Raw genomic sequence first — 14,604 nt, 5'->3', positions numbered from 1 at the left:
AAGTAATGGTGAAAAAAAACAAGACAGGCTTACCGCCCTGCTCCCTCCCCTCTCTTCTCTAACTTGCTGTTTCAGAAACTTAACATCCCTTCCTACTTTCCAAAATTGAGATTCATAGACTTATAACGTCTGATCCACAACTTCTTCAAAGGCAGAGATTTTCAGTGACTATTTTCATTAGGTTTGTTAGTGTGTCACTAAATTGATAATGGTTGCAAATATTTTTGCATTGACAGTAACTGCATACGTAAGTTTGCGAAGGGACTGGACTAGCAATTCGACTGGTATTAGGAGGTCCAAACCATAAGTCTCCCAGCAGATGCACCTATTACTTTACATACTGTTTACCCGCTTTTGGTGACATTGAGGCTAACCTTGGAGTCACCTCCCCCGCTGCCACATTCTCCTTTGTCGTACCACCATTTGTTTTTCAATTTGTCCAAGAGGCCTTGTTCATTCAGTTTTAAAACTGCGAGGTTAACAGCATTTCTTGAAACGATAAAACATATTTTGTAAGAAACTGCACAGCTGTTAAGATGTTAGAAGGAATGAGGACTTAAGCTCTTTATAAGCTTCTCCCAGACGCTAAATAAACCTCTCATTTTACCATCCTGCAGCCCCTTCCTCTGGAGTCCAAACCAAAGGCAATTGTAACTAATTTCAAATGTATTAAACATGCAGTATTTGGTGCTGTTCACTTTCACAGTTCGTTTATTGTCAAATAACTGATCTCATCATCAATTACATGGATTTTTTTTGGCAAAACAGTAATAAACGGGAATTTACTAGTAATTGAGAAAGAATTGTGTCTTGAATTCCTTTGCCTCTAAGAATGCCAATGATCCAAAAGAGAATGAAATTAAAATTCATTCCCACAAGGAAAAACAAAATGGCATATACAAACCATCAAACAAGCCACTAATTTTTCTTTACTGATTCCCTGAAAACAAAGAGTAATTATTACTCCCTTTATTTTTTATGTGGGTTTAGTGTGCTCGATTTAGTTGTTCGCAGAATCTAGGATTTCCTGATCATTTGCTTCATGGACTAGAAGCTACATGGTAGTCAAGAGACAGCAGCAGCTCTAGGGAAAAATTCTTACATCTAAATTTTGTGTTAATTCTTAAAGGCATTGAATGCTATTTGGAAATTAGGATTACATATCCAATTTGACGGTTTAAGTAATTAAACCCCAGGATGTCATGCTGCATGTGATACTGACTTTGCAAACAAACCCACTAGATTAGATTTCCTCCATGTTTTTCTCTAAAGGGAAATAGGGGAGCTTATTTTGGCTATTCTTTAGGAGGATTAAAAAATAGTGTCATGGGCCAGGTGCGGTGGCTCACGCCTGTAATCCCAGCACTTTGGGAGGCGGAGGTCGGTCAGTCACCTGAGGTCAGGAGTTCAAGACCAGCCTGGCCAACATGGCGAAACCCTGTCTCTACAAAAAATACAAAAATTAGCTGGGCATGGTTGTGGGCACCTGTAATCCCAGCTACTCAGGAGGCTGAAGCAGGAGAATCGCTTGAACCTGGGAGGCAAAGGTTGCAGTGAGCCAAGATTGTGCCATTGCACCCCAGCCTGGGCGACAAGAGCAAAACTTCGTCTCAAAACAAAAACAAACAAACAAAAAAAAAACAAAAAAAAACATGTCATGGGCTTCTGCCTCCCATACATTTGGTTTCTTTCCTGCTTTCAAGTTACAGTTTTTAAATGACCCAATAGGTATTTCAAGAGATTTTTCCATCATTTAATAAAATTTCTGTTAAATTTAAGGAGTGGCTCATATGCTGAGGGAATTTGGGTAACGTTTGTGATATGCTATTTTATAAACACTGAGTTTGGTGATTACTTAATGGCAAATGAATTATAGGTAAAATAAAGCAACCATATTATCAAATAGCAGTTGAATAATTGATTTGCAAGCAAAATGACATTTAGCCAACTAATAAAAAGTGTTGCATATTTTACCACTAATTAGCCTACTAAAGTGTTTATTGTCTTAAAATTTGTTCATATTATTTCAGGTCAACAACGTGCTTTTCCATTTTGTGATGATCTGATCCACTTGGAGAGTAAACAGTTCTCATAAGTAAACCACACACTTAAGAGTTTTTAGTATTAACTCTTCTTAAGAATTAGACTGCCCATTTACTGAATGCTAATTAAATAATTAGCTACTCCTACATTTCCAAGTAAGTGCCACATTAGTGGTGTAAAATAATGCATGTACTTCCTAATGTGACAATATCAAGTTGTTAGTTTAATCACCAAAGGACCAGATTGAAATGTAGGAATGAAGATAGAGACATCTATTTTTTTAAAAATTCTGCTGGGAAAAAAGGAATTGTTTTAATTTATTTTGTGTCTGTGAGGAACTAAATTTGTCTTTCAATAAATTAAGGTTAACTACTAAAATTCTCTATTTTGGAGAAAATTATTTTTATAATCCATTTTATTTTAGCCTTAAACATTCATATGAAGATTTTTAAAAATGAAGTAATACTCCAATTATTTTCTGTGTTGATTTAGACCATTCCTCTGATAAAACTAAACTTATTTCATGAGAGGGTTATTTAACAGGGTTATTAACCATATCCAAAGACAGTTTCACAGCACAATAGAAAACTAAAAAGCAAAATAAAGGAATGGATAAGGAAAAAAAGCTTTACGTTGAGAAAATTGTTTGGAATCAAGCTTTCTACAAAATTATTCTAAAACATTGTCTTTCTAATACCATCTAATAGGCCATGTAAAAACAGTTTAGTTTCACACTGCTATCCATATATTTGTGTAATTTTATACACTGGACCAATAGATAAGTTACTACCCAGTTCACAATTAATCTACATGGTTTCCTTCCAGAAACATGTGGTCCCTCAATAGAGTCCACTTAATACCATCATATATGAAATTTACCTTTCTTTAATAATGCATGTTGGAAGGCATTTTGTAATCAATATCTGGAGATAGTATTTCAAGATTTCCGTGCATGTTAAAAGTGTCTGTGGTTTTCTACAATTGTCTAACTAAAGATGTAATTCCCTCACATAATAAGTTTAGGTCTAAAGGGCTCCTTAGAATGCTATTTAAACTTTAACATAAACCACGTATATAATGACCATTTGGACATCTGTTCTATTTTATAGAATGAATCACTTCTACATGTTATTAGTAATAAAAATCATCAATGACATATATATGTATATAATTACTTCACTCATTTTACTGGACTAGGTTGAAAAGTACTTTTTGTCAAGCTAAGAAGAAAGTGAAATCCTGAAGAAGTAATAATAAACAAGGCTAAGGAAGCCATAAGAAGTTAGATAAATGAGGGGTGTAGAAAGCAGATACTCGCTGCAGCACATTTTATTATTTTTTTGAAATCCCCTTCAAATATTTCAGACATAGACTTCAAAATTGATGTCACAAACTCATATTGATTCTAAGGGGTATTCTTGCCCTGATTAAGTATATCAGTGTCACTGTAATAGTGATCTGCCAAGCAGATAAGTGTAGAAGAAAAATATTTTTAGCTATTTCTTACATTAATTATTCCCTTTATTGCGTTAAATGTAGCTTTTGCAAAGTCAGTTGAAATGAATTGCTTTCCATTAAAAAATAGAAGAGGAGGAAAAAGCAATAAGGGACCACATTTTTTCTAGATGTTTAAACCATATTGGAGAACCAGATGTGTTGACAATGACGTTGCATAGACTGAAATAGGTTCAAGGTAATGTGTTTGCCTTTGCCTTGTATGCCTTAGCGAAAATCTAGGTGAGAAAATCCCTTCCCCAAATAGCTTTTCTCATAGTAATGAGATGACAGGGAATTTGATTCGGGCCTAGAATGAAAATGCTCACTTGATCAACTTCCAGGACTTCTGAAAAACTTCCAAAAGTTTTTATTCCTGGAATTTCCCTCAAATGAGTTAGGTTATGAAAATCCATACTTTACTAACCTAGCATTTAAGACTTACTTTTGTTAATGAGAATTTTGTTGAAATGTCATATAAAACCAAAGCTTTATTATGGGAACTAACATATGTAAATTTTTTCCATTTATTATTAATAATTTTGGGCACATTAATCTAGTGCAAAGTAAGATTTCCTTGTGAAAAGCATGCTTAATCCAGCCTAAGACATTTATTGCTTATTCTTTACCCCTCCACAAATAACTTATCATTAAATTATATAGATCTGGATATGCTTTTATGCTTACTTTTATGCCTCACTCATATTTACTTCTAGATCATATTTCTTACAGTATGATTTCTCTGTTGGTGAGGTATTAAAGTGTATATCTGATAAAATGTCAACCTAAGTAAACAGGGCAAATTTAAAAAGTTTTAGTAAAGTTTAGTTTTATTTTTCTGATTTCCTGGATTTGTGAACATTGTTCTAAAGGACTGATGATACAGCTTCTTAGATTTAGTCATTGTCTGCCCACAAGATATTCAGGACATATGTAGTTTGTAGAACAAATAACTTGCAGTATTATCTTTGGTCTGGTTTAAACACATTCAATTCCATCTCACTTAATAGGATGAACACTTTATTGTTGGCTATGATGGCAATAGTATATGGAATTAATGCAGTTTATCTGTCTTAACTACTGTGTAATTGTGTTAGTGGATTATTATCCTTATAAGAAAGTATCCATTAGTTATACTAATTGAGTATCCCTAATCCAAAAATCCGAAATCCTAAATGCTACAATGTGCATTTCCTTTGAGCATCATGTTGGCACTTAAGACAATGTTTTTTGGAAATGTTTTAGATTGCAGGTTTTCAGATTACGGATGCTGAACTGGTGGTAAGTGTAACGCAAATATTCAAAAAATCCAAAAAAATCTGAAATCCAAAACACTTCTGGTCCCAAAAAGGCCTGTGACCTCTTCACTGGAGTGCTCTCTTCATACTACATTATATAAAATTTAAATATCAAGTGTTAAAATGTCCAGAATATTTACCTGAATGAGGCTGAGAGGTTTTTTCATAGTCCTTAATAAATCTTAATATAGTTTAAAAACACTTAAAAATTGTGTGACAAAAAGAAATTGTGTAAAAATAAGAACATTCCTTTAAAGTCAGCAAAAAACATGGATAGATAACTTATGCAGCAAGAAATTTAAATCATATAAAATAATTCAGCCTTATTTGAAGTTAAACTAAAATCATATAAAAATAATTCTGCCTTATTTGGAGTAAAACTAATGTGCATTAAAGCAATGCAAATTCATTTCTCACCATTCATAATAGGAAAGATAAAAGTAAAGATATGCTTTGTATAGTCGAGGATTTAATAAGAGGAGCAGGCATTCTCATTCACTGATGATAGAATTAAAAACTGGAGATCGGATGGGCGGGGCCAAGATGGCTGACTGGAAGCTGTGGCGTTCAGAGGCTTCCATCGGAAAAAAACATAATAAGCCTGTGAATCCTTCACAGGCAACCAAGGTATCCAGGCTCTCTCTCATCAAAATTGTCTAGAAGGCTGGCATGACCCACTGAGAGAAGGAAGAGCACTGTGGTGTGGTGGCCCACACCGGGAAGGGGAACCTCCTCTCCACAGCCACGGGAGGCGGTGAGTGAGTACGCTACCCATCCGGGGAAACTGTGCTTTTTCCCATGGAACTGTGCAACCCACAGATGGGAAGGTCCCACTCGCGAACCCACGCCACTGGGGCCTAGCGTCCCAACCTTGGAACATGCAGATTCTTACAGCCTCTCAGCTGGAATCTGCTTGAACCTACGGAACTCCCGGGGGGAGGGGCAACCAGCACCAGCTGCTGCTGCCTGCTGTCGAAGCTGTTTCAGCTCCTTGGGGGAGGGGCGGCAGCCAGTACTGGGACTCACAATTGCCTAACATGCTAAACTACCTGGGTGGGGGAAGGGCAGCACCCATTTCTATAGCTCCAGGCTGTGCTTTTCCCCTGCTGGAGCCAGGGAGGCTGGACAGCTTGCTCCCAAGACTTGTCCCCACAGCCCACTCCCAAGACTTGTCCCCACAGCTCAACACACCGGCTGTGGCAGTCAGCAGCCAGAGTGCCTCTTCAGGCCTAATCGTGACCCATTCTTCCTCAGTGGGCGGGGCTTCCCCGCAGGATCTCCAGTAACTCCAGCCAGAGGCTCAGGGACAGAATTAGCATCTCCCTGGGCCTGAGCTCCTAGAGGCAGGGGTGGCTGCAGTCTCTGCGGACCAGCAGACTTAGCCTCTCCTCCTGGTAGTTCTGAGGAATCGGGCAGCTCACATGGGTGGGTCTCCCCCCAGCAAAACACACCCTCTCCACCAAGGGACAAAGTGCTTCATTGAATAGGTCCTGCTCCCTGTGCCACCCAACTGAATGAGACCCTCCAACAGGGGTTGTCAGACACCCTATCGCCAGAGCGATCCTACTGGCATCAGGTTGGTGCCCCTCAAGGTGAGAGGTCCTAGAAGAAGGAGCAGGCAGCCATCCTGGCTGCTTTCCAGCCTCCTTGAGTGACATCTTCCTGCACAGGAGCAAATCAGATGAATAGGGCCTAAAGTAAATCTCCAGCAAACTGCAGCAGCCCTACAGAAGAGGGCCCTGATTATTGAAAGAAAAACAAACAAACAGAAAGCAACAACCGCATCAGCAACAACAACAACAAAAAGTCCCCCACAAACACCCCATCCAAGGGTCAGCAGCCTCAAAGAACGAAACTAGACAAACTCATGAAGATGAGAAAGAATCAATGAAAAAATGCTGAAAACCCAAAAAGCTAGAGTGCCTATTCTCCTCCAGATGATCACAACGTCTCTCCATAAAGGGTGCAGAACTGGATGGAAGATCAGATAGAGAACTGACGGAAGGAGTCTTCAGAAGATAGGTAATAAAAACTACGATGAGCTAAAAATGCATGTTTTAACCCAATGCAAAGAAGCTAAGAACCTTGATAAAGGTTAGAGGAATTGCTAACTAGAATAACCAGTTTAGAGAGGAACATAAAAGACCTGATAGAACTGAAAAACACAGCATGAGAACTTTGTGAAGCATATGCAAGTATCAACAGCCGAATCGACCAAGTGGAAGAAAGGATATCAGAGTTTGAAGACTACCTTACTGAAATAAGACATACAGACAAGAATAGAGAAAAAAGAATGAAAAAGAATGAACAAAGTCTCCAAGACTTCATAAAAGGACAGAACCTACGATTGATTTGAGTACCAGAAGGAGATAGGGAGAATGGAAACAAGCTGGAATACACATTTCAGGATATTATCCAGGAGAACTTCCCCAACCTAGCAAGACAAGCCAACATTCAAATTCAGGAAATACAGAGAACACTATTAAGATATCCCATGAGAAGATCAACCCCAAGACACATAATCATCAGATTCTCCAAGGTCAAAATGAAGGGAAAACTGTTCAGGGCAGCCAGAGAGGCAGGCCAGGTCACCTACAAAGGGAAGTGCATCAGACTAATAGCAGACCTCTCAGCAAAAACTCTACAAGCTAGAATAGATTGGGGGTCAATATTTAACATTCTTAAAGGAAAGAATTTTCAACCCAGAATTTCATATCCAGCCAAACTAAGCTTCATAAGTGAAGGAAAAATATAATCCTTTCCAGACAAGCAAATGCTGAGGGATTTTGTTACTACCAGGGCTGCGTTGCAGGAGCTCCTGAAAGAAACACTAAATATGGAAGGGAAAAACCAGTACCAGCCACTGCAAAACCATACCGAATTCTACCAGAGGTACAAAGAGGAGCTGGTGCCATTCCTTCTGAAACAATTACAATCAATAGAAAAAGAGAGAATCCTCCCTAACTCATTTTATGAGGCCAGCATCATCCTGATACCAAGCCTGGCAGAGACACAACAAAAAAAAAGAGAATTTTAGACCAATATCCCTGATGAACATCAATGCAAAAATCCTTAATAAAATACTGGCAGACCAAATCCAACAGTACATCAAAAAGTTTATCCACCATGATCAAGTGGGCTTCATCCCTGGGATGAAAGGCTGGTTCAACATATGCAAATCAATAAATATAATCCACCATATAAACAGAACCAAAGACAAAAACCACATGATTATCTCAACAGATGCAGAAAAGGCCTTTGACCAAAATTCAACAGCCCTTCATGCTAAAACCTCTCAATAAACTAGGTATTGATGGGACGTATCTCAAAATAATAAGAGCTATTTATGACAAACTCACAGCCAATATCATACTGAATGGGCAAAAACTGGAAGCATTCCCTTTGAAAACTGGCACAAGACAGGGGTGCCCTCTCTCACCACTCCTATTCAACATAGTGTTGGAAGTTCTGGCCAGGGCAATCAGGCAGGAGAAGAAAATAAAGGGTATTCAATTAAGAAAAGAGGAAGTCAAATTGTCCCTGTTTGCAGATGACATGATTGTATATTTAGAAAACCCCATCATCTCAGGCCAAAATCTCCTTAAGCTGATAAGCAACTTCAGCAAAGTCTCAGGATACAAAATCAACGTCCAAAAATCACAAGCATTCCTATACACCAATAACAGACAAACAGAGAGCCAAATCATGAGTGAACTCCCATTCACAATTGCTTCAAAGAGAATAAAATACCTAGGAATCCAACTTACAAGGGATGTGAAGGACTTCTTCACGGAGAACTACAAACCACTGCTCAATGAAATAAAAGAGGACACAAACAAATGGAAGAACATTCCATGCTCATGGATAGGAAGAATTAACATCATGAAAATGGCCATACTGCCCAAGGTGATTTATAGATTCAATGCCATCCCCATCAAGCTACCAATGGCTTTCTTCACATAACTGGAAAAAACTACTTTAAAGTTCATATGGAACCAAAAATGAGCCCACATTGCCAAGACAATCCTAAGCCAAAAGAACAAAGCTGGAGGCATCACACTACCTGACTTCAAACTATACTACAAGGCTACAGTAACCAAAACAGCATGGTACTGGTACCAAAACGGAGATATAGACCAATGGAACAGAACAGAGCCCTCAGAAATAATGCCGCATATCTACAACTATCTGATCTTTGACAAACCTGACAAAAACAAGCAATGGGGAAAGGATTCCCTATTTAATAAATGGTCCTGGGAAAACTGGCTAGCCATATGTAGAAAGCTGAAACTGGATCCCTTCCTTACACCTTATACAAAAATTAATTCAAGATGGATTAAAGACTTACATGTTAGACCTAAAAGCCATAAAAACCCTAGAAGATAGCATAGGGAATACCATACAGGACATAGGCATGGGCAAGGACTTTGTGACTAAAACACCAAAAGCAATGGCAACAAAAGCAAAAATTGGCAAATGGGATCTAATTAAACTAAAGAGCTTCTGCACAGCAAAAGAAACTACCATCAGAGTGAACAGGCAACCTACAGAATGGGAGAAAATTTTTACAATCTACCCATCTGACAAAGGGTTAATATCCAGAATCTACAAAGAACTTAAACAAATTTACAAGAAAAAAATCAAACAACCCCATCAAAAAATGGGCAAAGGATATGAACAGACACTTCTCAAAAGAAGACATTTATGTAGCCAAAAGACACATGAAAAAATGCTCATCATCACTGGCCATCAGAGAAATGCTAATCAAAATCACAATGAGATACCATCTGACACCAGTTAGAATGGCAATCATTAAAAAGTCAGGAAACAACAGGTGCTGGAGAGGATGTGGAGAAATAGGAACACTTTTACGCTGTTGATGGGACTGTAAACTAGTTCAACCATTGTGGAAGACAGTGTGGCGATTCCTCAAGGATCTAGAGCTAGAAATACCATTTGGCCCAGCCATCCTGTTACTGCATATATACCCAAAGGATTATAAATCATGCTGATATAAAGACACATGCACATGTATGTTTATTGTGGCACTATTCACAATAGCAAAGACTTGGAACCAACCCAAATGTCCATCAATGATAGACTGGATTAAGAAAATGTGGCACATATACACCGTTGAATACTATGCAGCCATAAAAAGGATGAGTTCATGTCCTTTTCAGGGACATGGATGAAGCTGGAATCCATCATTCTGGGCAAACTATTGCAAGGACAGAAAACCAAACACCACATGTTCTCACTCATAGGTGGGAATTGAACAATGAGAACACTTTGACACAGTGTAGGGAACATCACAAACTGGGGCCTGTTGTGGGGTGGGGGGAGCGGGGAGGGATAGCATTAGGAGATATAACTAATGTAAATGACGAGTTGATGGGTGCAACACACTAACATGGCACATGTATACATATGTAACCTGCATATTGTGCACATGTACCCTAGAACTTAAAGTATGTATATAAAAAAAGAGTTTCTGCACAGCAAAAGAACTATCACCAGGGTGAACAGGCAACCTACAGAATGGAAGATAATTTTTGCAATCTACCCGTCTGACAAACGTCTAATATCCAGAATTTACAAGAAACTTAAACAAATTTACAAGAGAAAAACAAACAGTCCCATCAAAAATTGGGCAAAGCACATGAACAGACACGTCTCAAAAGAAGACATTTACACAGCCAATAAACATATGAAAAAAACTCAACATAATTGATCATTAGAGAAACGCAAATCAAAACCACAATGAGGTACCACCATCTCACGCCAGTCAGAATGGTGATTTTTAAAAAATCAGGAAACAATAGATGCTGGCAAGGCTGTGGAGAAATAGGAATGCTTTTATACTGTTGGTGGGAATTTAAATTAGTCTAACCATTGTGGAAGACAATATGGTGATTCTTCAAGGATCTCGAACCAGAAATACCATGACCCAGCAATCCCATTACTGGGTATATACCCAAAGGAATATAAATCATTTTACTATAAAGACACATGCACACATGTTTATTGCAGCACTGTGTACAATAGCAAAGACATGGAACCGACCAATATGCCCATCAATGATAGACTGGATAAAGAAAATATGGTACATATATACCACAGAATACTATGCAGCCATAAAAAGGAATGAGATTATGTCCTTTGCAGGGACATGGATGAAGCTGGAAGCCATCATCCTGATCAAACTAACACAGGAACAGAAAACAAAACACCACATGTTCTCACTCATATAAGTGGGAGTTGAACATTGAGGACACATGGACACAGAGAAGGGAACAACACACACCAGGGCCTGTTGGAGGGTTGGGGGTGAGGGGAGGGAACTTAGAGGGCGGGTCAATAGGTGCAGCAAACCATCATGGCACTTGTATACCTTTGTAACAAATCTGCACGTTCTGCACATATATCCCATTTTTTAAAGATGAAATTTTTAAAAAAGGAGAAAAAAAGAATTAAAAACCAAAAAGAAAATAATTTGGCTTTATACAACAAAAGCTTTAAAACAATTCTCACCCTTAATTAAATAATTCCCCTTAGAGCAATCAATCCTAAGAAATTAAAGGTGCTGCCAAAATGACTTATGATAAATCTCATTTTATATATATGTAACATTATATATATAGCATTATATATATAACATTTTATATGGCATTATATATATATATATATATAAATTGAAAGCAATATACCTATCAAAAAGAGGGAAGATTAAGGAGATTTTGGTATACACCAGTGGTCTCAACTTTGACTTGAGTATAATAACTGCATATTGCAAATACTCATGCTCAGACCTAACCCCCACTGTATCAGGTTTTTCTAAATTGGGGTACCATATGTTACAAAGCTTCTGGCGTTATAGTGTTGATAAGTACCAATGATCCATATGATTGATGTTTGATAACCATTAAAAAAATTTCAATGGCAAGAGGGAGTACTTATAGTATAATGTTAAGCAGAAAAAGAAACAAGTGTGTGTTCATTTTGATCTTAGTCTGAGAATAAACTATACATTTATATATAAGTATACATATACATAATGTTGATTATTGAAAAGAATATGAAAGAAAATACAACAAATCACAATCTCTGGGTGTAAGATGATGATGAACTTAAATTGCATTTGTTCTTTATGCCCCCACACACCCAAAATTTTCTGGGCAGTGGAAAGTGATACTGTAATAATTAGTAAAAAACAAAGCTTTCAGTTATTTTGTAATATAATACCTTATGGAATTGTTTTATTCAAGCCAAATAATATACTCTATTTTGGATTAAATAAAATTTGAGATATAAATTAGGGGTTATTCTTAAAGTTCTTAGAAAAACATTTATTGTTCCTCATTATGTGGTTTGCTTTGGTTCAGTTGGTTTTGTCCCTCTAGTCACAGGCTGGAGGACATGTGATGTATTTGGCTTCTATGAGGGCTCTACTTTATTTGATGGGAACAGGTCAGGCAGAGAAGTATGAGCAATGCATCAATTAGCAGACATACCCCATCAGACAGGAGCTACAGGAGGTTAATAGAACTCTTAGTGGCCTAGAAAGAAGACTTGCTGTTTCACACATATTTATATAGACAAGGTGAGTCTTTTCCCTTAGGCTGAATTAAATGAATGTGACTGAATAGCCTTGAGTCCTGCTTAGTGTGCTATTTACAAAAAAAGAAAGAGTTTATATCTCTGTTTTCAGAAAAACAGATTTATGGCTAGCAACTATGTTCTTTCCCTAACAAGTATTAGAGACCCTAAGAAAAAGTCTTTTTTTTTTATTTGTTTGTAGGAGTTAAAAAATACAATTTATTTTTATATTCTATCATGCTACATATTTATTTTATACCTTTCTTGAAATCAAACTAAAATTCCAGATTGGAAAACTCATTTGATTTAAGCTTTGTTAGCAGCAAATGTGTGTGTGTGTGTATGTATGTATATATATGTGTGTGTGTGTGTGTATGTGTATACATGTATATGTGCTACAGTTTTCCCAGAACCATGCTAATAAGAAAATAGTAATTTCATGAAATATGAATAACCAACTCTACATAGACTATTCATTCTGTTATTAAATATAGCTGCATTGTCAGTATTTTCACAAAAGTTCTATGCGTATTCCATATAACAAGATGAAATAGGTAGAGAGAAGCAAATATCATGTAGGATTTACTTTTGTAGTTTAATTAATGACATCTTCCAGATAAAGGTGAATGGAGCAAGTAAGCAAAAAAGCTGAGAATTTACAACAACCCCAGAACTCTGTGTAAAGTCAATTAATGACCTACTGAGAAAAAATGACTATTTTATTAATCAAGAAAACACAAAAAGTAAATAAGAATCAATAGGCTGTCAAATGATGAAGAGTGAAGAACTAAATATGTCTAATTTTAAGGAAAGGCTTTTGCATTCGCAATTCTACCCTTTATCAACTATTTAGCCTCGAAGAGTAGCCAGTTTTCAGCATTATCAATGCTCCACTAAGTTTTCAATTTAACTTGTAGCTGTGTTATTACTTTTCTTCCCAAATTATTCATTCCAGTAGACAAGCACAAGGCTCTTTTTGCTTCATTGGATTTGTGCACTCATTTCCAAAGGCAGAATTTGGGCTAGATTGCTCTACATATATATGCAAAAAGTTTTTAGAAAAGATATTGAATTTTTACTCCAGTTTGCCTATGCGATGACAAGTAAGATTTGCATTAAATGGTACTATTGATCAGGAATTTAATATTAAAATAAGGAGAGAAAAATTTTTGTAAGTGGAAAGACAATTCAGACCCAGCATGATTTGCAATGAGCACTTGAAAACTACTTTGATAAGGAAGGATTTAGTGTCTTTGGTTTGGGTTTTAGATGACATATATGTAATTAAGTTAGTGTGGAAACCTTTGTATTTCATATTCCAAGTTGAGTCAAGGAGAGCTGAACAAGTTACACAGATACTTGTCTGGATTCCAGCAATTGTCTCTAAATTGCATGTTCATTGGAATTTGCATGATTAATTTCTAGTTGAGACATGGATCTGAGGAATGTTATTCCTTGAAGGAGCTTTGTGATTTTTGTTAGGATATCTCCCAGGAACTTAGCCAGAGCATTAGCTAGGGAGTTTGATCAATGAAAATTTTAATTACATTTTTAGTGTTGAGTATTTTTTAGGTAATATTTACAAATATTTCATGAAACTTAGCTTCATGATTTTGTCAATTTTAGGTCACAGAGTAGAATTTTTTTACCTACTTTGGGTCATGGTTCTCTTTTAGAATTCAATGAAAGTACAAATACTTTCTCAGGAAGAAATGCAAAAACTTACAAAACCCCAGACTTATACATAATTTCAGGGGTTCACAGACCTTGGAAGGGCAACTTGAACACAGATTAAAAATATATCTGTTCTAAATTCGAATAACATTTATTTTAAAAATAGTGATGACTTCTAAGTCTGTCTATTAAAGGTAAGCGAAATAAAAACATTTCTATGACACCTGGTGGCTCAGAATGTTAATAGAGCAGAGGTTTTAAGACTGATTTATTGAGAAGGGATTTCCAAAGTACTAGCCTCAATCTGTGATCATTGTACAGTTGCATCATATGCAGAACATTTTAATTTTTTATTATTTTTATTTTTTGAGACAGGGTCTCACTCTGTTGCCCAGGCTGGAGTGAAGTGGCATGATCATGGCTCACTGCAGCCCTGACCTCCCGAGGCTCAGGTGATCCTCCCACCTCAGCCTCCTGAGTAGCTAAGATTGACTGCAAG

General features: G+C 37.0%; 1 protein-coding gene across 23 annotated transcripts in view; it reads right to left on the bottom strand.

Annotated features, from left to right (window-relative positions):
* GRIA4 (glutamate ionotropic receptor AMPA type subunit 4) overlaps window positions 1-14,604 on the bottom strand; it is a 372,097-nt gene that overhangs the window by 15,655 nt on the left and 341,838 nt on the right. For 9 of the 23 annotated variants that reach the window (NM_001440383.1, NM_001077243.3, NM_001440382.1 and 6 more), the window contains one exon: window positions 375-489. The exons of the other annotated variants lie outside the window; for them this stretch is intronic. In NM_001440383.1, the coding sequence (NP_001427312.1) occupies window positions 375-489 (115 nt within the window). The remainder of the gene's footprint in view (window positions 1-374; window positions 490-14,604) is intronic. 23 annotated transcript variants of the gene reach the window in all.

Source organism: Homo sapiens, chromosome 11 (genome assembly GCF_000001405.40).
Source record: "Homo sapiens chromosome 11, GRCh38.p14 Primary Assembly".
Classification (NCBI taxonomy): Eukaryota; Metazoa; Chordata; class Mammalia; order Primates; family Hominidae; genus Homo; species Homo sapiens.
Note: the sequence above shows the minus strand (reverse complement) of the source record. Positions and strands in the feature narration are given on the sequence as shown.